Source organism: Homo sapiens, chromosome 4, assembly GCF_000001405.40.
Source record: "Homo sapiens chromosome 4, GRCh38.p14 Primary Assembly".
In the NCBI taxonomy this organism is placed as follows: domain Eukaryota; kingdom Metazoa; phylum Chordata; class Mammalia; order Primates; family Hominidae; genus Homo; species Homo sapiens.
In genome coordinates this window covers 180732849-180760017 of record NC_000004.12, presented here as the reverse complement: position 1 = coordinate 180760017, position 27169 = coordinate 180732849, and the positions used below count along the sequence as shown (strand labels likewise).

The 27169-nt window shown below is 36.3% G+C and overlaps 1 long non-coding RNA gene across 1 annotated transcript; it reads left to right on the top strand.

The window, feature by feature from the left end:
* Positions 1-19071: 19071 nt before the first annotated feature.
* LOC124900820 (uncharacterized) lies at positions 19072-26927 on the top strand. Its single transcript, XR_007058398.1, has 2 exons — positions 19072-19174; positions 26856-26927. It is a non-coding gene; the product is annotated as an uncharacterized LOC124900820 (long non-coding RNA).
* Positions 26928-27169: the final 242 nt, after the last annotated feature.

The following is a 27169-nucleotide window of genomic DNA, read 5'->3' as shown; positions in this document are numbered from 1 at the left end:
ATGTGTTAAGTTTGTTCAGGGATGAGTTATAGTGCTGTTAGCCATGGGTTCAATGTTAATAAGTCAACAATATATATTAAATACGGTGTCTTTAAACAGAAACATATATAAACAAGATTTATATTGAGAGGTTGACAAAAATGTAACTAGAGGCTCACAGGAAATTAAACCTGTATTTACCTTAGGAGCAATAGTTCAATAGTTGCTAATTTAGTGTTTGCAGCAACTTTGTAGCACTTAACAACCATAAATAATGAGAATTGACCCTAATTTTGTTTACTATGTATTGTTTATAATACATAGACATTACACTAGCTTACATTAACATTAAATTACATACATTATATACACATCTAGCTTACACTAGAATGTAAGCCCTATGTTTTGTTCATTGCTATATTCCCAGTTTTAAGAAATAATAGGAGCTCAATGAATATTTGGTTCATACATAAATGAATGTGTGAAGCAATTATTTTGAATGATGAATTAATAAGTAATGAATTATTAAATGTGAGTAAGTAAAATGTCTAAATGTAAAAATAAAGATAACATGAATAATGAGTGAATAAATAAACCAATCATGGACTATGCACCACTCCAATATTAATGCTGGAATCATAGGATTAAAAGATAAGATATGAGCTTTAATCTTGAGACTTTCATAATTAAGATAGCTAAACTGTTTGAGAAAACAAGTCACTCTTCTCTTTCCAATCTAGCAGGTGAATTTCATACCATTTAAAAGACTGCATGTTGATTCTATCTGTGAATCTACCTAAGACAATAGACAAGGTTTTCTTTAACATCTGCATTTAGTACTAGAACATGAAGTTTAATTTAGAATGTTTAACCATTTTCCTTATGACCCATTACTGTTATAAATGTGGTAAGGTGTAAGACCACTTAGTCAATATCATATTGATGCTTATTAGCTGTGTGATTTTAAGCAAGTGACTTAACTTCTTTGTGTTTCAGTTTTCTTACCTGTTAAATGGGGAACACGATAGCATATCACTTACAATATTCAATTAACATCTATAAACCGCTTAAAATAACTGTCATGTATTAATGACGAGAATTCGTTCTAAAAGAAAAAAGCCATACATTTCTGAAATTTAAGGTAAGAAAAAAGATAAACGGAAGTACATATTAAGTAGAAGATATATGGAACTGCAGTTCATTTCCTGGAATGTTTCAGGACAGCCCACTGTATAGATTTTGCTACTTGGGTTTCTTTTTTTTTTTTTTGTATTTAATTTAGAATAAGTTTTATTAGAACTTCATAATTTTTTATCAACATATGCAAATGTGCTCAGATGTTCCATTTCAGTAGTTACATTATTATATGTAAATTGAGAATGATTACTATGAATATCCATTTTCTTTCAAAACCTATCAGCATGAATTTTACATTTTTAAGCAAAAATGAATTATGCAAATATATTAACTCTTGAGGTACTATCCATTCCTGTAATTTTCCTTTCAAATATATTTAATGTTATAATAAGGAGTTCTTAGTAGTTTAAATGTGTTTCTGTTTTGCTTTGTTCTTGTTACACTTCAGTAGAAGGAAGACAGTGGGAATCTCTAGACCTCTCTCATCCCCTGTGTAGTGAAAGGTACACTGCCTTAGCTTGAGCTGTGTGATAGTGGAAAATCTTCAACATTTTCCTCTGCTCTCACACCACAGCAATCAACACAGAAGACTTTGTGACCAAATATGTGAGGGGTTTTCCCCACACCCCAAACAGCAGACACCAGCTGGGCATCCTCCAATTCATTTCAATTCAATTCTCATGATATCTACCTGGAGACAGCTTCAGATCCCACCAGTTGAGGGCTCAGTCTCCAAGACTGCCCCCTCCTGCCCACCAGCCGCAAGTGCAGACCTTGGGAACTTCTGACCCACTGGCTTCCAGTTGGGGTCTCCACAACCCCTTCTTTGGGTGCAATTAATCCTGCTAGGGCTGCTCACAGAACTCGGGGAAACACTACATTTGCTGGTGTAATGCAAAGGTTATTTTGAAGGATATACCTAAACAGCCAGATGAAAAGATACAGAGAGCTAGGACTGGAGTGGTCTGGAGCACAGGAGCTTCTGTCCCTGTGAAGTTAGGCTTCACCACCCTTCTGATACGTGGATGTGTTCTTCTTCACCTTCTTATCAGCTTCCACATATTCAGCTATCTGGAACCTCTTGAAATCCAGTCCTTTTGTGTTTTACATGGTTCTTTATGACTGATTAAATCATTGCCCGCTGGTAATCAACTTAATCCTCAACCCCTTTCTGCTACCCGGAGGTTGAGGATGAGGCTGAAAGCCCCAGCCCTCTAATCCTGCCTTTGTCTTTGTCTTTGGCGTGACCAGCTCCATCCTGAAGCTACCTAGGGGCTGCCAGCCACAGTCCACTCATTAGCACACAAAAACCATCACTTTGAAGATTCCAAAGATCTTAGGTGTTGTATGCCAGGAAACGGGAATGAAGACCAAACACGTATTTCACAATATCACACATCACTATAACAAAATACCACAGACTCTGTGGCTTAAACAATAACGATTTATTTCTCACAGTTCTGGCTGCTGGGAAGTTCGGGATCAAGGTGCTTGCGGATTCAGTAACTGGCGAGAGCCTCCTATCTCATTTGCAGACAGCCACCTTCTTGTTGTATCTCCTTACATGGTGGAGAGAGAGAGCATCTCCGAGTGCTTCTTCTTCTTCTTCTTCTTCTTCTTCCTCTTCCTCGTCTTCTTCTCCTTCTCCTTCTCCTTCTCCTTTTTCATTTCTTTATTTATTTCTTTTTTTTTTTTTTTTGAGACAGAGTCTCACTCTGTCGCCCAGGCCGGAGTGCAGCAGCATGATCTTGGCTCGGCTCACTGCAGCCTCTGCCTCCTGGATTCAAGCTATTCTTGTGCCTCAGCCTCCTGAGTACCTGGAGTTACAGGCACATGCCACGACACCCAGCTAATTTTTGTATTTAGTAGAGATGGGATTTCATCACGTTGCTCAGGCTGATCTCGAACTCCTGACCTCAAGTGATCCACCTGCCTCGGCCTCCCAAAGAGTCAGGACCACAGGCGTGAGCCACTTCGTCTGGCCCCGAGTGTTTTTCATTATGAGAGCACTAATACAATTTATGAGGACTCCACCACCCTTATAACCTCCCAAAGACCACACCTTCAATGCTATCACATTGGGAATTAGAACTCCAACTATGGACTATGCACCACTAGAGTTTGGGGAAAACATAAGCATTTTTCCCCAAATGCTTCATTTGTACATTTGTATACAATACAAGTGTATTGTATTACAGTGTACAGCATGTGCTCTGATGATGTAAGTTAGATTTCTACGATGTTTCCTAAAAATCCTCTCATTCACCAGCCTTTCTTACATGATACAGTTTCATAACTGAGGTTTTTTACAGACTTCTGATTATTTCTTTCCATTTTTCTCCCATAGAAACTTCCCCTGTTAAAAACTATTTACTTAAAAAAATCAATTATAGCATTTGTTTAAGCCTCCTTTCCTGTCTATTTCAGTAATGTTTGCAGATAGTAAAAAGAAACCATGTTCTAATTATTGAGGGTAAGAGTCTCAACACTTACTTCCAGATGATATTATTTATGAAAACTGCACATATTGAAGTAAAATCAATCTGGTATATATGTTTAAAAACTCTCTCTTGAGGGGGGCTACAGTCAATAATAGTTGTACATTTTAAAATAACTTACAGAGTGTCATTGGATTGTTTGTAACTCAAAGGATAAATGCTTGAGGGGATGGATACCCCATTCTCCACTATGTGCTTATTTTGTATTGCATGTCTGTATCAAAACAACTTTTGTATCAAAACAACTCATGTACCCCATTAATATGTACACCTACTATACACCCACAAAATATTAAAAAATAAAATAAAATTATTGGGGGGAAAACACTCTCTTGGATTTATTCTACAAAATTGAAGGTGTATCTTCACATGTCTACTGACGATAGATTTCCAATATTCTAACTTTGCCCACTATAGTTTTTCTTCTTCCTAATACTCTTATTTTTTGATCTTTTGTGTGTGTGTGTGTGTGTGTGTGTGTGTGTGTATGTGTGCTTGTATTGTGTGTGTGTTTAATGGGGGAAGGCAGTAGTGGTAATGGTAGTATAGCAATTATTCTAATTCGAGGTCTTCTTTCTTTATTCTTGGTACCAGATTTTTAAAGTGTATGTTAGGTAGAACTTGTTTGTAAAGCTATTTGGAGCCAGTGCCATTTTTGAAGACATGAGAGCAGCTATTTTCAACACAGATTCAATTAATTTAACAACTATTGTTCTATTCGGGCTTCTGCTATTTATAAATCTTTTTTGGCAATGTATTTTCTTTTCTAAAATACAGAACATTTCAACAAAGACTCAACTTTATCATCATAACATGGTTTTTGGTATTTTTATTTAATTTCTAATTAATTGCTGCATTTCCATTCCTCACATTGTTTGTTTGAGCTTTTTATTTTACTTCCCCACCAGCTCTTGACCAGATTTGCTAGGAAGTTTCTATCTTTTTCTTATTTTCAAGTCATCATATTTTTATAACTATTCCATTAATTTCTGCTCTATTTTTTTTGCTTTCTTTTACTTTATTGAGTATGTTTCAGTGTTTTATACCTACTTTTTTGAGTTCAGTGCCCTAGCTCTCAACCTGGCTTTGTTTTGCTATAGCAATATGTAATATATTTCCACACATATCATAATAGTCTTTCATTCACAAGTATTTAAATATTTCCATTATGTATTTTCTCTTTAATACTTTAATATTGAAACGCATGCTTTTGAATTCCCCAGTATATGTTTCTTTTGATAGTTTTTTAATTATTTCTAATTCTTTTGGATTGTAATATGAGAACATGGTTTATAGATGATCATTTTCCTATGGCCTAGCATGTGCTTAGTTTTCTTTTAATCCATATGTGATTGAAATGAGTATATTTACTTACTTCTGGGAGTGTGAGTGAGAGGTTGGGTAATGTTATTTAGAATAAGCTAGCTCATTGTATTATTTAAAACTTCTGTTGTTATCCTTTCCTTTATCTCTTTGATGCATCAGTTTCTGAAAGAGATATGGTAAAATTTCCCACCATGATTATAGATTTTTAAATTTCACTTTGCAAGCCTGTCCAATTTTCCTTTAAATAAATTAACATACATATGATATTAAATGTATGCATGTTAATGATTGTCATAATTTTCGAATCACTATTTTTATTAAGTATAGACTTATTTTCCCTAATGTTTTTTGCCTTAAATAAAATGTGTTAAATATTAAAATAACTGAACCAGATTTCTTTAGTAAATTTTTGGCATTTTCTTACTTACGGACATTGAGTGATATATGCTTTTAGGAGTGACTTTTGCAAACTGGATTTGACTGAATTTTAATTTTCAAATGAATATTGACATGGTTTGGCTCTACGTCCCCACCCAAATCTCATCTTGTAGCTCTCATAATTCCCACATGTTCTGGGAGGGACTCAGTGGGAGAGAAGTGAATCATGTGGGCAGGTCTTTCCTGTGCTGTTCTTGTGATAGTGAATAAGTCTCATGAGATCTGATGGTTGTAAAAATGGGAGTTTCCCTGCACAAGCTCTCTCTTTGCCACCACCATCCATGTAAGATGTGACTTTCTCCTCCTTGCCTTCTGCCATGATTGAGAGTCCTCCCCAGCCATATGGAACTGTAAGTCCATTAAACCTCTTTCTTTACTAAATTGCCTAGTCTCAGATATGTCTTTATCAGCAACATGAAAACGGGCTAATACAGTAAACTGGTAGCAATAGAGTGGGGCATTGCTGAAAAGATACCTGAAAATATGGAAGCAACTTTGGAACTGAGTAACAGGCAGAGGTTGGAACAGTGTGGAGGGCTCAGAAGAAGATAAGAAAATGTGAAAAAGTTTGGAACTTCTTAGAGACTTGTTGAATAGCTTTAACAAAAATGCTGATAGTGATATAAACAATAAGGTCCAGGCTGAAGTGATCTCAGATAGAGATGAGGAACTTGTTTGGAACTGGAGGAAAGGTGACTCCTGTTATGTTTTAGCAGAAAGACTAGTGGCATTTTGCCCCTGCCCTAGAGATCTGTGACACTTTAATTTGAGTGAGATGATTATCTGGTGGAAGAAATTTCTAAGCAGCAATGCATTCAAAAGGCATTCAGTTTTACAAGAGAAGCAGAGCATAAAAGTTTGGAAAATTCGAGCCTGACAACGCCATCCCCTTTGGGAAGCCAAGGCAGGCAGATTGCCTGAGCTCAGGAGTTTGAGACCAGCCTGGGAAACACAGTGAAACCCGGTCTCTACTAAAACACAAAATATTAGCCGGGTGGGGTGGTGTGCACCTGTAATCCCAGCTACTCAGGAGACTGAGGTAGGAAAATTGCTTGAACCCAGGAGGAGGAGGTTGCAGTGAGCCTAGATTGTGCCACTGCATTCCAGCCTGGGTGACAGAGTGAGACTCCATCTCAAAAAAAAAAAAAAATGAATCCCATTTTCTGAGAAGAAATTAAAGATGGCTGCAGAAATTTGCACTGGTAATGAGGAGCCAAGTGTTAATCCCCAAAACAATGAAGAAAATGTCTCCAGGGTATGTCAGAGGTCTTCTTGGCAGCCTCTCTCATCACAAACCCAGAGGTCTAGGAGGAAAAAGTGGTTTTGTGGGTCATGACTAGAGTCCTTGTGCTGTGTGTAGTCTAGGAACATGGTGTCCTGCATCCCAGCCACTCCAGCTTTGACTAAAAAGAGCCAAGGTACAGCTCAGGCTGTAGCTTCAGAGGGTGTAAGCCCCAAGCCTTGGCAACTTCCACGTGGTATTGAGTCTGTAGGTACACAGAAGTCAAGAACTGAGGTTTAGGAATCTCCACCTAGATTTCAGAGGATGTATGGAAACACCTGGATGTCCAGGCAGAAGTTTGCTCCAGTGGTGGGACTCCCATGGAGAACCTCTGCTAGGGCAGTGGGGAAGGGAAATGTGGGGTTGGAACCCCCACACAGAGTCCCTACTGGGGTACCACCTACTGGAGCTGTGAAAAGAGGGCCACCATCCTCCAGACTCCAGCGTGGTAGATCCACTGACAGCTTTTTGCACTGTGTGTAAAGCCACAGACACTCAAAACCAGCCCATGAAAGCAGCTGGAGGGAGGCTGTACCCTGCAAAGCCACAGGGGCAGAGCTGGCCAAGATCATGGGAACCCACCTCTTGGGTCAGAACGATCTGGATGCGAGACATGGACTCAAAGGAGATCATTTTGGAGGTTTAAGATTTGACTGCCCTGCTGGATTTTGGACTTCCATGGGGCCTGTAGCCCCTTTGCTTTGGCCAGTTTCTCTCATATGGAATAGCTATATTTACCCAATGCCTACCCCAATTGTATCTAGGAAATAACTAACTTGCTTTTGATTTTACAGGCTCACAGGTGGAAGGGACTTGCCTTGTCTCAGAAGAGACATCGGACTGTGGACTTTTGAGTTAATGCTGAAATGAGTTAAGACTTTGTGGGACTGTTGGGAAGGCATGATTGGTTTTGAAATGTGAGGACATGGGATTTGCGAGGGGCCAGAGGTGAGATAATATGATTTGGCTGTGTCCCCACCCAAATCTCATCTTGAATTGTAACTCCCACAATTTCCACGTGTTGTGGGAGGAGCCCAGTGGGAGGTGATTGAATTATGGGGGCAGGTCTTTCCTGTGCTGTTCTTGTGATAGCGAATAAATCTCCCAAGATCTGATGGTATTATAAGGGGGAGTTTCCCTGCACGAACAGTTTGTTTACCTGCTGCCATCCAGGTAATACATGACTTACTCTTTCTTGCCTTCCGCCATGATTGTGAAACCTCCCCATCCATGTGGAACTGTAAGTCCATTAAACTTCTTTCTTTTGTATATTGCCCAGTCTTGGGTATGTCTCTTTGAGCAGCATGAAAACAGACTAATACAAATATGTTTCTTCATTTTTTTTTTGACAGGGTCTTACTCTGTAACCCAGGCTGGAATACAGTGGTGTGATCTTGGTTCACTGCAGCCTCCACTCAAATGAATATCTTTCAATGAACAAGTTTAGTCTATTTATATTTATTGTGATTTCTGATGTATTTAGACTTTTTTCTACCACGTTACTTTGTTTTTGCCTTATTGTAAAAGGTTCATGCTTCTTTCTGAATTCCTGTTTACTAAGTTAAGAAAATTTTTTAATTTCTTCTTCTCCCCTATTTGTTTATAAATCTTAGATAGTATTTTTTTGTTAAACATTTTCTGTATACAATTATTAACTTAATGTTTAAATTTAATTAGTACTTCTAATATCCTCTGATTTTTTTTCAAAGCCTTTGAAACTTTTAAGTCTTATCTCTTAACTTTTCAATTTTGATATATTGCTATTATTTTATTTCCATCTGTTTTTTACTTATCCAAGTTTTTTAAAATTTGTTTTTGTTAACAAACAATGCTTATTTAGGCTAAAAACATGTTTATACAAGTTTTTAGCTGTTAGTCCATCTTCAAGTCATTTCTGCCTCCTAGCATCAATTTCCTTCTTATTGAAGTATATCCTTTACTATTTCTTTCAGCCTGTATCAAAACTAATATACGGCTATCTATTGCTGTGACAAACTATCCCAAAACTTAGTGACTAAAACAACTACCATTCCATTCTGTCTCATATATTATGGCTAAGAATTTCTGGCAGAGGTTGTCTAGCTGATTCTGCTGTTCTGTACGGTATTGACTGAATGAATCACTTGGTACTATCCAGCTTGAAGCTGACCTTTCTTGAAAGTTCCAAGATAGCTTTACTCACAAGGCTGGCACTTTGCCAGGTACAACATGAAGTCTAAGCTAAGCTGGCCCCTTCTATTTCCAAGGTTTGTTCATTTGCCCTTTCCAGCTTGATGGTCAGGCTTCTTACATTGTGACTTGGGGCCTTAAAAAATGAGTCAAAACAAAGTCAAAAAAAAAAAAAACAAGAAAGGGCAAAAGGACTCCCTAATCAATAAATGGTGCTGGGATACCTGGCCAGCCATATGCAGAAAATGGAAACTGGACCCACTCCTTATGCCATGTACAAAAATCAACTCAAGATAGATTAAAGCCTCAAATGTAAAACCTAAAGCTATAAAAACCCTGGAAGATAACTTAGGAAATACCATTATGGACATAGGCCCTGGCAAAGAATTCATGAGAAAGGTGCCAAAAGCAATTGCAACAAAAACGAAATTAACGGCCGGGCGCGGTGGCTCACGCCTGTAATCCCAGCACTTTGGGAGGCCGAGACGGGCGGATCACGAGGTCAGGAGATCGAGACCATCCCGGCTAACACGGTGAAACCCCGTCTCTACTAAAAATACAAAAAAATTATCCGGGCTTGGTGGCGGGCGCCTGTAGTCCCAGCTACACGGGAGGCTGAGGCAGGAGAATGGCGTGAACCCGGGAGGCGGAGCTTGCAGTGAGTCGAGATCGCGCCACTGCACTCCAGCCTGGGCGACAGAGCGAAACTCCGTCTCAAAAAAAAAAAAAAAAAAACGAAATTAACAAATGAGACCTAATTAAACTGAAGAGCTTCTGCAAAGCAAAAGAAACTATCAACAAAGCATCCTATGGAATCAAGCAAAATATTTGCAAACTATGCATCTGACAAAGGTCTAATATCCAGAATCTATAATAAACAGATTTACAAGAAAAAAAAAACATTAAAAAGTGGGCAAAGGAAATGAAAAGACACTTTTCAAAAGAACAAATACATGCAACCAACAAATATATAAAAAATGCTCATCACCACTAATCATTAGAGAAATACAAATCCAAAACACAACGGGATACCATCTCACACCAGTCAGAATGGCTGTTACTAAAACGAAAAAAATAACAGATGCTGGCGAGGTTGTGGTGAAAAGGAAATGCTTATACACTGTTGTTGGGAATTTAAATTAGTTCGGCCACTGTGGAAACCAGGTTGGTGATTTCCCAAAGAAATTAAAACAGAATTACCATTCAACCCAGCAATCTCATTACTGGGTACATACCCAAAGTATTATATATCTTTCTACTATAAAGACACTTGCATGTGTGTGTTAATTATGGCACTATTTATGATAGAAAAAACATGGAATCGACCTAAATGCCCATCAACAGTAGACTAGATAATGAAAATGTTTTATATATATATATATATACACACACACACATATATAACATTTTTATTATATAGACACACATATATTATATATATATACACACACACACACACATATATATATATACACATATATACACCATTGAATACTATGCAGCCATAGAAAAGAATGAGATATGTCCTTTGCAGCTACATGGATGGAGCCAGAGGCCATTATCCTTAGCAAACTAATGCAGAAACAGAAAACCAAATACTGCATGATCTCACTTATAAGTAGAAGCTAATCATTGAGTACACATGGGTACAAAGAACAGAACAACTGACATCAGGGCCTACTTGAGGGTAGAGGGTGGGAGGAGGCTGAAGATCGAAAAATGACCTATCAAGTGCTTATCATCTGGGTAATGAAATCATCAGTACCCCAAATCCCTGTGACACACAACTTACCTATATAACAAACCTGCTCATGTACCCGTGAACCTACAAGTTAAAAAAAAAAAAAGCCAAAAGCTGAAAATCTTTCTAAATTATACGTTCAGAACTATCACTGAGCCCCTTCTACCATATTCTATTAGGCAAGCAGTCACAGGGCAGTCCAGATTCAAAGGGGTGGAAGAATGGACTCCATCTCTTGATGGGGAAATGGCCCAGGTAAACAGAAAGAGAAGAAATGACAGGACCATTATACAGACAGTCTCCACAACCAGAAAACTCTCTTAGTTTTATTAGAAATTATTTTATTTTGTCCTCACTCTTGAAATAATTACTTATTTATATATAGTACTTTAGGTTGATCCTTATTTTTCATCAGTAGTTTCAAGATACCCTTTCATTCCATTGCCTTCAGTGCTTTATTTTGGATAATGAAAAGTATGTTGTCAGACTACTTTCTATTCCTTTTAGGAAGTTACTCATGTTTTGTCTTACAGATTAATAACTTTCTCTTTTTCATTGAGGATCTTCTATTTTTATGGTATGTTTAGGTATAGATTGCTTTTTCCTTACCTTGCTTAGGAGTCAAGGAGCCATTTTTATCTGAGAATTCTAATTCTATGAAATAATTTGGCATACCTATGGGAAAATACTATTCCCTTATTCTCTGAATTTTGTTCTTTGGAAATTCTCATGAATGTATGCTGGACCTTCTCATTCTATCTTCTATTTTAGCTGCTTCCTCTTTGTATTCTCCATCCATTTATTTCAATGAATTATTTAACTTGATTTCTACAGATTTTTCTACAATGCACTGATTCTCTCTTCAGCTATGTCGACTTTGCTGTTTAATTCACCTAATATGATTTTTTTTCAATGCTTTTATTTTCTTTTCTAGAATTTGTTTAGCTTCTTTTTATAATTTGATTGTACATTTTTTCATACATTATTCTTGTTTTACAGTTTAGTTTACGCTTTTAAACATCTTAAAGATTTTTACAATCTTTTTCAAATTATCCCATTATATGAAGTTTTTCCAGTGTTGTCTGGTTTAGTAAATCATTGACTTTTGTTTACAGTACATTCAAAAAGAATTATTAAATTTTTCTACCACCAGGTCTCTGATGGTTTTATTATTTTCATGCAAGTTTTCCTCATAATCTTGGCTTGAGGTCCTAAAACAAGTGGCAATGTGAATTTAGCCCACACTCATGTTGGGACCTGATTGTACAGTTGCGGGCTGCTTCCCCAAGTTGAACATCAGAACTTTTGTCATCCCTGTTTTATAAATGAATCAGTTCTTTGAGGCTTTTGGCTGTTTGGAAGGGTTCTCATTTCCAGAGAATCACATTCAGCAGTTCTGAGACCTTGTGTTCCTTCAGGCATATTAAAATTAAACTCCCTAACCATCAAGGATTATATAGAAAGAGTGAAACTCCCCAAATCATTGGGATTTCGTATATATGCCTCTCTTTGTTGAGTCTCTACTTTTTAAAAAATAACACCATGATATTAACTTTTATTCCTATTGAATGTGTGTGTGTGTATGCATGTACTTGTGTTTATAATTTATTGTATGTTTGGAATGGGAAGGGGTTGGTTCATTTGAGTTGAGACTGTTATATTTACTCAATCTTCACTAACTTTTGTTTCCATTCTTAACCATCTGGTAGGAGGGGAGATAGAAAATACCTTTTCTTCCTCTTTAATATGTAATTCAGCTCAAAAATTTATAAATCTCGTATATAAAATATTTAATCATAATCTAAATTAAAAAATGAATCTGTTAAAACTTCTGAAAGGAAATTATAAGTGATATAAAGGTGTACATCAAATGTTTGAAATTTGTTGATTAGAAAATTCTGGGGAGAATGACCCCTCATATTTTGCACAATTCAATAACCTGTTACATGGAGAGTCTTCTGATTTAAGGGAGGTATCTTAAGTTACAATCAAGGACGGGAGTATTATTTTTTAACATACAGTTGACTCTTGAACAACACAGACTTGCACTGCCCAGGCCACTTATTCACTCATTTTGTTTAACAAATAGTTGCCCTCCCTATCCTCAAGTTCTGCATCTGTAATCAAAAAAGACTGAAAATCTATTAGTGGGATGATAAGCTCGCAGATACGAAGGGCTGACTTTTCCGATACTGGGTTCTGCAGGGCTGACTGTGGGACTGGACTATGTGTGGATTTTGGTGTCTGCAGGGGGCCTGGGACAAATCCCTTGCAGATACCAAGGGGTGACTATATTTGGAAAAGAAATCCCAGCTAAGGGTATAGATTTCTCATTTTCCTGAATCCACTTGCATCCCTTTAATTTGCCTACCGTCCCCCTCCAACCCACTCCAAGCAGTATCGCCAAAGCTCATGGCCAGTAGTCAGTATCTATTCACCTCCACTTCACACATTAGAGAGTAAAATCCACAACCACTTTGAAATTTAAAAAGGCACAACCTAATAACATAAACTTGTTTCCCGTCCCATTTATTCACCTCTAATGAGAATGCCAGTCAGATTTTAACTTTTTGTTTTGTAGAGGAAGATATCATTTTTAGATTTAGCCATTATAATCTATTTTTTTCAAAGGAGAAAGTGTCAGAGTAGGGGGAACAAGGAGAGTCAAGGAAAAAAATATTCCTTAAGATATATTTCCTATACTGACTCTTTCTGTAATACAAGATTAACAAATGTATACATTTTTAAAACTGTGTGGAGGGACAGCAGAAAGTTCCTTTATTTATATCTGTGGTTCCTGATGTTGCCCTGATCAGAATATCTATCAAAAATATCAGGCCAATATCAAAATCAGAGAAAATAGCTGCCTTTAATGGAGACTTTGGTGTTTAATCCTTTGAAGCACATGGGAAGCAAAGATATGCTATATGCAAAGTAAAATCCTCTGCTGTCTTTGAAAGTACCAAAGGAAACTTTTAAGTGCACTTCCCATTTCATCTTTAGAGACAAAATGTCTAGTAGGCAGGCTTATAGATGTCCACGGGTTTTCTCCACCATTTCAGTGTTTTCGAAATGAACAACAAAAACAGTTATCTTTGTAAAAAGTCAACTAGCACTTTCAACTACCTTTATGTTATATACATATTTTAAATATCTGAGTTGACAACTATTATTCTCTAAAATGTAGGCTTATACTTAGGTATGCATCTTTAAAACCACAATGCCTATATTATATGCATAAAATCTACAGCAGATTACAAAAACTGGCTCAATTAATTATAACTTGCATCCTCACATAGGTATGGATTAATATGTCATTAATGAAAATGTTTAAACGTATTAAATCTTTTCTTATTGTCATAAACTCTAAAAAGAGTTTCTTTGAAACCTACATTTTAAACAGAAATGTTTACATTCAACAGATAAAGCAGAAAATGTTTATATGAAACATATACAACACACTATTCTGAGATTTATTTTTTGAAATTTGGAAAAGTTACAAAATGATATTAAAAAGACAAAATTAGGTTCTCCTAGAAAAATCTTACGAATAATCTTTTTTCTTCAAATTCAAGAAACACAGTTCTTTAAAAAATGTATGAAGCTATCTATGTGGACCATGGCAGAAAGGGACAGACAGCAGGTACCTTGAGACAAGGACCATAAGGCTGATTTAATCAGCTCTTTAAAAATGACTTTCCGAGCCTGGGCAACATAGGGAGACCCCGTCTCTCTCTATATATATATATTTTTTTTCAATTAGCCATGCGTGATGGTACATGTCTGTGGTACCAGCTACTTGGGAGGCTGAGGTGAGAAGACCGCTTGGGCCTGGGAGGTTGTGGCTTCAGTGAGCTGTGATCATGCCACTGCACTCCAGCCTGGATGACAGAGTAAGACCCTATCTCAAAAAAATTATTAAATGGAAAAATAAAATAAAATACAAAAATAGGCTTTTCCAAGCTAAAAAGGCAGCATTGGCAGAAACACAAAAGCATCTATTTTTATCAATTGGTTATTGTATAGTTATAAAAATGGATGTGGTAAACAAACAAAATTCCATTCTCCTGATTTCTACCAATGTTCAGTGTTTAACAGTCAAGAAGAATACGCTTATCTCTCAATTCTTCTCATAAAGATTAAAGAATGCTCTGCCTACATGATGCTTCCTTTATTGGAGTGATTCTTAGACACTGGCCAGTGTCACAATTAGCTGGAGGGCTTGTGAAAACCCAGATTGCTGAGCACCCGACCAGAGTTTCTGATTCCATAGATCTGGGATGAGGCCAACAATTAGCATTTCTAACAAGACCTGACATGTGGCTGACATTGCTGGTACCGGGTCCATAGATTGAGAATCACTGAATTAACGGATTTTACACACACAGAGGAGCTATAGCTTTTTAAACTTGTCAAAAACACCAGTCATTAAAGTTTTTAAATTATTAAGGTCTGTGCCATTAGATGTATCAAAAGAAGCAGTAATCTGAGTTCTAATTCCTTTTGGAATCTCCAGAGGAGATTTCAGAGCCAAGTGGAATGAATTAAATTGATAGAAATTATAATCAATATAATACTTAGACCATAATAGGTTCTACATTGATCCAAATGACTAAATCTAACCTAATCTTTCTTTCTGAATTTATCTTTATCTGCAGATATTTCCTCAGTGAATAGAGAGAAAACCTGGTGTAAAAATACATTATTTACTCAAAAGTTATATCTTAATTGCCCTCTAAAGTTGGCTCAATATTTCCAGATGATATCTTAAGATAATTCGTTTCAGAAAAAAGCAAAGTATAAATAAATTATAAATAAATTGTATTCTCAGTTCTTCACCTAATGTCTACTTTCACTCCCTAAGCAACTTATTAGAAGCTATTTGTGAAATATGTAGTCTTTGATAACTTTGTTTCAGTGTTCCTGAACTCTTAGAGACAGCATCAGAAGAGTGAGCCCTTGCATGGGGAAATGACAGGAAGGGCAATGTGCCGAGAGGCACAAGATGCATTTTCTGTGTTGTGTTTGACATTTGTCAGCATTGTCTGGTCTTGCAAAACACTTTTAACCTCCAGCTGAACTCAGTTTCTTTATTTTTAAAATGGCAGTAATAATTCCTTTCTATTACTGGATTGTTGAGAAAAATAAATTAGGAAGAGTCTTATTTTCTTATAAATAGAATTAAACGCAACTGAACATATTCAGTGCTTTAAAAGAGTCAGGTGGGTGCTATTTCTGACAGAAGGAGAGTGTCTTTGGATCTCTTATTCAAATTCAATTATGTACCACTAGCAATGCTTTGGTTTTTAGAGATAATAGTGAATTATACCTTAGAAATAATGAATATATTACATGCTTTAAGTTCTGCTTTTTTCGTTGTTGTTCATGTGTCAGGTGTGCAGAATTCTGTGGAGTTTGGTGTTCCTCTCCATGTGAGTCATTCGACTTGACGGTTTTTGATATTATTTTAATTACTATTTAAAAATACTCACTAAATAATTAGAATCCTTCTTCACCGGAAATATTATACTGTGGATAAACCAAGGTTAACACGATTTAAATTCACATTGAAACCATATTTGAGCATGAAGGCCAAATTTTCAGTGAGTCACACTGCCTTTTTCTCAGTGAGTCTGTGTGTGTTTGGGCATGGTTGCCCTTTTTGCTATTTCTTTAAATGCGTAATGCATGATTGCCCTTTTTGGTTGCAAAACCCAACATAAGTAGATTGATTTTCGATTTCCTGTATTCAATAATGTAGATGTGGTAGGGGTGAAAGTAAAATATCTCACTAAGAAATAAAGGAGTCCTACAAAAAAGACCCCCTGTCAAGAATAATGTCTTTTGTGTGCTCTTTGCCTCTGTTGATGACTAAGAAGTGGCAAGTTGGTGCTTCTGAATGATAATGTTGAAAGCAAAGAAATAACTGCACAGGTGAACTTTGAGCAGTGTGTCTGCATCACTTCTCTTTCTACAATAAGCAGCCTTATTAGAGATGGCTTATTATCCATCTCAGATGGTATTTAAAAAGAAATATATTTAACCATAAATGCCAGTTTAAAAATGCTTCAAATTTACATATATATTATACATTGTTCAAATGAAAGATGAAGTTATGACTTCACATCATCTCCTGTTTTTCTTTTTGAGCTCTTTCTGAGCTTTTGCCTTTTTCAAGCATTGGTTAAAATGCTGAGACAAGACACTGCTTCCTATGCTTTAGTCTTTGGAGGATGCAAATAGCATTTCAAATAGTAAACTCCAAGCCAAACAGAAATAAATTAAAATCTGGTTTTTGGGGATCTTTCAAAGAAGAAAAAATATTGCCATTGATAATTTCTCTGATTCTCAACAACGTATAAATCCCAAAGACAATAATATGTTTGCTATGTATGATTTGACACTTAAAATCTGTATTCACTTCAGCCATTCTGTGGAATCTAGTAAAATTTTGAGATCCATGTAGTATACTAACAGTATACTGCTGCCTCAACCTAAGCAAGAAATAGCTGTCAAGGGCTTCCTTTTATATACTTCTAAGATGAATAAATTGGGTATATAGGAAAAACATGGCCTGGAGACATACTAAAAGCTAATAACTTTTTTTTTCTGTTAGAGAATTAATTATGTGTTGGAAATATTATGTAAAGTGCATGGACATAGCAGAATTGCTGATGTTAAATCGAGTTATCTAAAGTCTGACAGTGTATACTGTTGCCTTGCCATCCCTGCTATGGTTAACTACATGGGTTATTCAGAAATGAAAGTTATATTTTGCTGCATCTGTTGATGATTAAAAAATGAAAGTTATACATTAGTGTCAGTTATGTAAAATCAAGATTTAATACTCTGCAGCATTTTATATGCACTTTAGGCCTACAAAGATCCAATAAAATAGAGAATGACTAATAGCAAAATTCAAGGCCAAATGTTAGAGGGTTTACAGCAACATATTACTTTATTGTGTGAGACTCACTGGTTCCATTCACTAAAGAATTATCCTTAAGATGTGGCATATCTGAACTAGTAACGTGATATTAATTGTAGATTCCCATAATCAAGCAGGAAAATGTGGTAATAGCCATTTCTGGATAAAATACTTAAAAATGTATAAACTAAGTAAAATGTTCATTTTCTCCTTTTCTTCTGAAGATCAAATTTGTTTTAAAAATGCACATTCACAATTCTGAAATTTTCCATTCATCAATAAGTTCTTCAATATATGAGAAAAAAACTAATTCTCCACAAAATTGCTATAATAGTCTTATACTACAATTGATCTATCAGCACAGCGGTATCACTGGTATTGCTTGTACTGCCACTCTAGAAAATTTTATTAAACAATTGTAGAATGAATTGAAGGAGAAATAATCTAGATAAGGCAACTACATCATCTATGTCTGATTCATTTTTCATTTCTCATATATTCACTCTTTTCTTTTTCCTCCTTCCCCTATAGCTGATGGGTTTAGGCTGTCATTTCTTTAAAAGCATAATGGCTTTTGTGACATTTCATGATGGTGTTTCTTTAGATAGTTCTCAGCAGGACAGAACTTTGGTATCACACAAATGTATGATACACACACACACACACACACATACACACACGCATTCAGAGAATATTCTTTTAGACAAGCCCAACAATTTTAATCTATAGGCCATCCTTCAGACATTGCTTTGTGCTTAAAGAAAAAGAAATAGGTGAAACTGAAACCCTTATATATTTAATAAAAAGACATTTGAAGTAGAAGATGCTGATATGCTGATACATAGAAATCAGTGACATGATCTATGTGTCACTTCGTTCTATGTCCTGCTTTTGTAAGGAAGAATTTTTAAGCTTGAATTCCTGATTGTCTAATTGAATAGTATGATATCTTGAAATCCACTCTGCTTTACACCAATAATGATCTCATCTTATAAAGAAGAGCCTTATATTTTTATTCTTCTCCCAGGAGAGGACCTCCAGACTTTGATGACTGGTTGCTAGATGCTAATATATAAGGACAATCAGAAAGTTCATATAGTATTAGAAATAGATTTATGTTCTGGAAAATAAATTACACCATCTCAGTACATGGACAGACAGCTGAAAGAACCTTCTGGAAAAAAATAAAGATAAGGACTGGGATTATATTCTCATATGTAAAACTATAATATAGTTAATGGTAGATATTTTTAAAAGCAGGCTATGTATCATCTGAGGGCATAGGACCTAGACCAGAGCTATCTTCTCTTCATTTACTGGGCGGCTCTTTCATGATAATACATAATCTCTGAAATATTTATGGAAATCTCAAAACATAGCTTACAATTTGTGGTGGATGTAATATTTTTGATAAATCATATGTTCACATAATAATATTACTAAACACAGTCATACATCACACAACATTTCAATGACTGACCATACATAAGATGATGAGCTCATGAGATTATAATAATGTATTTCTACTGTACCTTTTCTATGTTTAAATAAAAAAATTATCATTGTGTTACAGGTGCCCCCAGTATTCAGTACAGTATGATGCTGTACAGGTGTATAACCCAGAAGCAACGGGCTGTACCATAGAGTCCAGATGTGTAGTGGGCTGTTCTGTCCAGGTTTGTGTGAGCACAGTTTATGATGTTTGCACAAAAACGAAATCACCTAGAACGCATATCTCAGACGGTATCCTAGTCATTAAGTGATGTGTGACTGTACTGTGTTATGATGAAGTAGAAAACAAATAACAACATGGTGGGAGATTCAAATCCAACCCTATCAATTGTAACACAAGTAAAAGGACTAAGCATTTCAAATAAAAGGTAGAGAACACCAAACTGGATAAAAAGTACGACCAAACTACTTTCTCAACAGATGCACACTATTATTATTATTATATTATTTGAGACGGGGTCTTACTCTGTTGCCCAGACTAGAGTGCAGTGGTGCAATCACGGCTCACTGCAGCCTTGACCTCCCGGGCTTAGGCGATCCTCCCACCTCAGCCTCTCAGGTAGCTGAGACTATAGGCATGTACCACTAGGCCCAGCTAATGTGTGTGTGTGTGTGTGTGTGTGTGTGTGTGTGTGTGTGTGTGTGTGTATGTATGTTTCTTGTAGAGAAAGGGTTTCACTAAGTTGCTCAGGTTGGTCTTGAACTCCTGGGCTCAAGTGATCCACTCACCCTGGCCACCAAAAGTGTTGAGATTACAGGTGTGAGCCATTGCACCTCGTCCTCTGATGCACTTCAAATATCAAGTAAAAACTAAGTCAAAATAAAAAAAATGATTTTTCAAATAGCATGCAATGCTCACTCTATGCAAACTAGAGTGGCCAATTTAATATCAGTAAAGATAGACATCAAAACAAGAAGTAATACCAGAAATAAAATGTGCCAGTTAAAGTGGTAAAAAGATCATAAATGTGTATGCACCTGATAACAGATCTTCAAAATACATGAAGTAAAAACTGGCAGTAAAAAAGGGAAAAATAAACTCATTCATAATATAGTTAGAGATTGTAGCACCATTCTTTCAGCAACCAATAAAACAAGTAGAAAAAAAAGATTCGTAATAATGAACAACACTGTCAACCAAGTAAACCTAGTTGGTATTTATAGAACTCTATACTCAACAAATATAGAATACATTATTTTCCTATGTAATGGGGCTTCACAAATATGCTGGGTCATTAATACATTTCAAAGTATTGATGTCACATGTTTTCTGTGCATATGGAATTAAATTAAAAATTAACAAAAATAAAATATCTAAAAAATTCTCAAATAAAGATATTTATTTCCCAATTGAATTTCAAAAATGTTTTCAATGTTACTCAGTGGAAGACATACAATTATTTTTATCCATTGATTCAGAAACAACTAGATATCCATCTTCAAGGAATTAAACATTGACCTCGGCCTCCAAACAAACACAAAAATTAATTCAGATAGATTATAGACATAAACACAAGAGCCAAAATTGTAAAGCTTCCTGAAAAAAGAGTATCTTTAAAATATTGGGGTAATCAAATATTTCTTATACAGAAATCAGAAAGCACTTAACATTGAATAAAAGCAATTAATAAACTAGATTCTAGCAACATGAAAACTTATGCTTATCAATAGATTATTTAAGAACATGAATATATAATTAATAAGTAGGATAAAATATTTTCTTTCTCTCTATCTGATAAATGATTTGTATAGAGAAAATCTAAAGAACTTTTACAATAAAATGGAAAAATGTCTTACCTCATTTGTCACTAGGGAAATGTAAATTAAAAGCACAAGTTACTACTTTCCCACTAGGATGGCTGAGATTGAAAACCCAAAATGGTGGAAAGGTTATGGAGCAAATGGAACCCTTGTACATTGGTGGATAGAGTGTACAATGGTAAAACCATTTTGATAATTGATTTGGTAGCTTCTTACAATGAAATTCTATTCCTAGATATTTATACAACGAAATGAAAACCTATGTCCATTAAAAAATGTGCCCATGAATGTCCAGAGTAGCTTTATCCATAATAGCTAAAAACTGAAAACAACCTAAGTGTCTATCAATAGGAAAACAAATAAATCATGATGTAACCATACAATGGGGTACTGCACAGTAAATAAAAGGGATGGACTATTGATACATGCAACAACACGAATGAATCTCAAAATCATTATCCGTTGATTCAGAAACAACTAGATATCCATCTTCAAGAAATTAAACATTGACCTCAGTCTCCAAACAAACACAAAATGAATGAATCTCAAAAATTATACTATTCTTCTTCCTCTTCCCTTCCTAAAGCTGCATTAGAATTAGAAGAAAAGAGCTACTGTGGCCCAGAGTGGGTTGCAAAGTCCAGGCAGGATGATGTGGGTGTTTGTGTGGGAGGGCTCCTCAACAAAGGCTGTCTGAGTGCCATGGATTTGACTTGGTGACCATATGGGTTTGGGGATAGGAGGGGCAGTACAGCACAGAGCGTCAGAGCTCCAGTGTGGTGAGCACAGCATTCTCAATGGTGCACAGCCCTTTTTCAGTTTGTTGGAGCCCAAGTCACTGTATAGGGTGGGCTGAAGCTGGAGCATGGGTAGGGGCAAGTGAATGTCTGCACATCTGGAAGGAGGATGGCTGTGAGGCTAGCAGACTGATTGCATATAAGGATATTGATCAAATAAGTGACTATACCAAGGATAGAGGCAGGCATTTTATGTCTGTGAAAGAAGCTAAAAGTATGGAAGGGTAGATATCTTGTAAGTCATGGTTTTCAAGTTCATAGAAAGATAAATACAAAAATAAAAATAAGTATATATTCCATAAATATATATAAAACATACATATTATAATATATTATATTCATTATAATATCTTACATAAATTTAATATATCTTATAAATGTATATATTACTAAATATACTAACATGAATACATTTTAATATATTATATATTATACTGAGATATCTATATTATAGATATACTTGTATATGTGCAAATATATAAAGGTTCTCTGGAAGCAGACACTAAGCCAGAGTTTGATATGCAAGATATTCATAAGGGATGAACACCTATAGAAGGCGGGGGTGGGGGTGGGCAAAGGGAAAAGTAATTTATTCTCAAGACTTGGCCAACTTTAAGGGGTGCTTTGAAGCACATATGGCCTTTCAGACCTACCCTGCAGTGGGCTCAAACATCAGGTCTTTTTATCCCGAGATGGGCAGTCATTAGATGTGTGTTTGTTCATGAAGAATATGGACTTGGGTGAGACAGGTCTGTGAAGCTAAGAATATTTTATTGATTTAAATTAAAAATATAGACCCTGTAGGGCCTGGGAGCTCATGTTTGCTGCTAAGTGTACTCCCAGCAGCTGAGAGAACTCACACAGTCCTTTCGTGAAGTCACTAGGGAGATACATTTTTAGACCCATCACATGCACACACACACACACACACACACACACACACACACACCATTTTCATGCTTTGTTCACCGAGTAGGCCTGGAAGCAATGACATGTCAGAAACCATGAAATAACTAGCCCTCATTCCTAGGCTTTCAAATACCTACCTGCATTAAAATAATTCAGGGTCAGGTGCAGTGGCTCACACTTGTAATACTATCGTTTTGGGAGGCAGAGGCAGTGAATTACTTGAGCCCAGGAGTTCGAGACCATCCTAGGTATCATGGCAAAACCCTGTCTCAACAAAATTACAAAGAATTAGCTGGATGTTCTGGCGTACAACTGTAGTCCCAACTACTTGGGAGGCTGAGGTGGGAGGATCACCTGATCACCTCAGGAGGTCGAGGCTGTGGTGAGACAAGATAGCGCCAGTGCACTCCAACCTGGGCAATAGAGTGAGACCATTTCCCAAAACAAACAAACAAAAGAATTCAGGGCTTTTCAGATATTGTCTGGGGCAGTGGAAGTACAAGATTGGAAGTAAATTGGAAGATTGAGGAGGTTACTATTTAAATAATATACATTTCAAGAAGAGAAGAAGTAATTGATGAAATTGAGGCTACAATGAGTATCTAATGCGCCTGAGCTGAATAAATACTTAAGCAGACAGGGCTGACTTAGTTCTAGGTAAGGCTGATAAGAAAAGTTACCTACCAGATTCCAAGTACCAATCAATCAATTGATCAAAATAGAAACATATACAATTGTAACCTTTCTGTCAGAAAAAAAGAAGTAACTTACAAAAGAAAAGTAAATCATCTAATAATGAACGTTTACTACATCTTTGGGCACTAGAAAATGGGGGAATTACGTCTATAAACTATTGAAAGAAAAGACTATATCAAGGACATCGTCTACCTGTCCAGGTGATAGAATGACATGCAAACATTTGCAGATAGCAGTGATGACTATGACAGCCACATACTTGACCTGAAGAATACGTATGAAAAAGAAATTAAATAAAAAAGCAAGTGAATCAGAATAAGAAAAGATACATAGTTGACTACATAAACATTAACATATTTGTAAAAAAATCAACAAAACCAGTTTATAGTTATAAACTTGAGAACTATTTGTAAGGTACATGACTAACAAAAGATTAATTATATAATATACAATGACACTTATAAATTAATAATACAAAGAAACAACTCAACAGATAAATGAACACAAGATAGAATACTGAAATCATAACGAAGCCAATACAGGTGGCGGCTAAGATGTCCGAAAATATTTTCATTCTCTCTATTGTTCAGGTAAGTGCAAATTAACATAACAATGATATATCAATGACCTATTAGATTTCAAAGGATATTTTAAAATGATAACATCTACTATTGGTGAAGATTCAAGAGATAATATTCTTAAATATTGTTGGCATAAAAATGATTTGTTCTAGCCGTTTAGAAAAGTGATGTGGCAATATTGATTTACATTAAAAATATAGATGTTCTTGGCCAGGCACAGTGGCTCATGCTTGTAATCTAAGCATGTTGGGAGGCTGACACAGGAGGATTGCTTGGGGCCAGGGGTTTGAGCCTAGCCTGGGCAACATAGGCAAGACTCTGTTTCTACAAAAAATTACAAAATTAGCTGGTCATGGTGGGATACCCCTACAGTCCTTGCTACTCAGGAGTTGAAATGGGAGGATGGTGGTTTGAGCCCAGAAGCTCAAAGCTGCAGTGAACTGTGATCGTGCCACTGCCCTCTAGCCTGGGCAACAGAGCAATACCTGGTCCTAGATAGACAGATAGATAGATAGATAGATAGATAGATAGATAGATAGATAGGCAGACAGACAGATAGATAGATAGAGGTAGATGATAGATAGATAGAGATGTAGAGATATTCTTGTAGCCAAAAGGTGTCATTCTACTGCTCTCTTTTAAATAAATAAATAAAAGAACGCAAATCTCTGTGCACATGCTTTATTGCAGGATTTTTGTAGTACCAAAAAAAAATACGACAGGGTGTTGGGTTTTTTTTTTTTTTTTTTTGTCTATCTGCAGGGGAAAGGAAATAACAAAACAGTAAAATTGTCACACATACATACACAAATTATATAAAATGTGTATGGTGTATTTGTATACGACACACATTTACCACATTTCAGCTACAGCACTTGTTCTGAAACACAAATTTGTCCCTATGTGATGGATATATTTGGGAACATTTGGAGCATAATGCGAATTTTCAGTGAGCTTATGTGAGACTTCTTTATTAGAAACACCAGGTGAAAGCAGAAAACCGCTCCCAGCTGAACCAGACGGTAGGAATACACATAACACCTGCATGCACACGCCACAAACACTTACCGGCCACCTCAGTTCACTGTATGTTTTCTCCTACAAGATTATCTTCTGTTTCCTGCTTATTTAAGAACTTTTCTATATGTATTTAAAAAAAAACTCATTCAATATCTCAAATGTATTTCATTATCCTGGTTCATAATGCCTAGCAGGGTGAGCAACTATCTACCTGTGAAGATCTTAAAGAGACAAAGCTGAATCCTGCAAAAGTGAGAACTGTTAGTGCTTGTAGTGGTTGGTTTAGTGGTTTCAAACCTCTCTAAAATTTGCAAAGCCTTCAGCTGTTGAGCAAAGCTGCAGGTGCAGAGAAAGCCTAAAATAAAATGTCCACACTAATACCAAAGTTAATTAAAGAAGAAGACTGTACATTGGGTCAAATATTCAATGTTGATCAAATAAAATATCTATTATAACCACGTGCTCAGAGGGTCTATATTTCAAAGACACAAAAATCTACACCAGGATTTAAGGCTGTAAAAGATCACTTGAGTGTTATGTTTGGTGCCTGGGACTATGATCTACACCCATCCACACTTGATGATACAAACTTCCAGATTCAGAGAACCCTCTTTCCACTACTTCACAGTAACTCAGAAGCTGCAGCCCATTCAACACCCACTGACACAAAAGACCTGAAAAATGTGGTAATTTTTTAAAGGTTAAGTGCCACATTTTTATTGCAGTACTTGTGGATTTTTCAATCATTTTTTATGTGTAAAGCTCTGCTACTGTTTTTATTAGGTTCCTGTCTTTTTAAAAAATATGTCACTGATGAAAATGTTGAATGCTTTGTCCCATGATCATTTTTTTTTCATGAGCTCTGTGGTTTTTATTGCTTGATTGTGCATAGCATAGTTATTTTTAGGAATGCAGGTAACTTTATGAAAGGACTTATTGTGTATATATCTATATCTATATATATATAGATATATATACACACACACCACACTCATCCATATCCATATAAAAATTGCATGTGATTATATAAGCATAAAAAATATGGCCATCACATATCTACACATGCTTAGATTAAATTAATGCAATTTCAGGGCCAGGTGTGGTGGCAAAGGCCTGTAATCCCAGCACTTTGGGAGGCCAAGGTGGGCAGATCACCTGAGGCCAGGAGTTCAAGACCAACCTGACCAACAGAGTGAAACCTTGTCTCTACTAAAAATACAAAAATTAGCTGGGCATGGTAGGGGCTGCCTGTAATCCAAGCTACTCAGGAGGCTGAGGTAGGAGAATCGCTTGAACCTGGGAGGCAGAGGTTGCAGTGAGCCAAGATATTGCCATTGCACTCCAGCCTGGGCAGCAAAATAAATAAAATAAAATAATGCAATTTCGGAATTTTCTTTTAGCTTTATGTCCTTTTATTTCTGTAGAGATGGGATCTTACTCTGCTGTCCAGGCTGGTCTCAAACTACTGGCCTCAAGCCATTCTCCCACCTCAGGCTCTCAAAGTGCTGGGATTACAGGCTTAAGCCACTATACCCTGGTAATTTTAAAAACAATTATTTATAAAATAACATAGAAGAAGCTTTTCTCATCATGAAAAGAAACAAGTAAAGAAATAAATGCCAGGAAATTCTAGGTTGTTTTAGCAGCAATTTCTTATCTCCCAGGAAAGACAAAAACACCATTATGGGAGCAGCTTAGCATAGCTTAAAAGCACAATTGGATGATATTTAATAGCAAAAGGATGCAACTTGGGACAGCTGTGGGATCCCATAAGCGCTAGACAGTACACACATTCTGAAGTGTAATGATGGTCAAGCTCTGTTACTAGACTGCATTATTCTGCTTAGTGCAGAAATTTCATGAAAAAGTTATAAGGATCTGCGGGAGGATGTGCTGAGAACTCTCAGAATAATTTATTAGTACATATACTGTTTTATTTGTCACTGAGTTTTGTCTTCTCACACCCACACTTGTCACAAGCTGTCTTTAAGCACCGCTCTTCAGAAGAGGTCTGTTTATTGAACCCCAAAGTGAAAGTTTTCTGAAAGACTCTTTGCTCACTTGTTTTTGTTTTCTTGCAGTCTACTCTCTGAAGGTTGTTCTAAGGGTCTGTGAAAGCAACAAGAGGAAGTTCTTGTAGGCCGAAAAAGGAAGAAAAGAAAAAGAAACAGAGGATGAGAGGTTGGTGTCCCTCTTGTGGGACAAAGACACCCAGCAGTACTGTCTTTGGGGACCAGAGAGAAATTCAGAGAATCTGGAGCCACAATGTGGCTGGTTAAATGGACCAGAGATTCTCAACCTCACCAAGGATTCCTGTGCCTCAACCATGACCAAGGAAATAGCCCCTCAAGGGCTTGACCATGAAAACTATCGGGGTGACTAACAAAATGGAAGT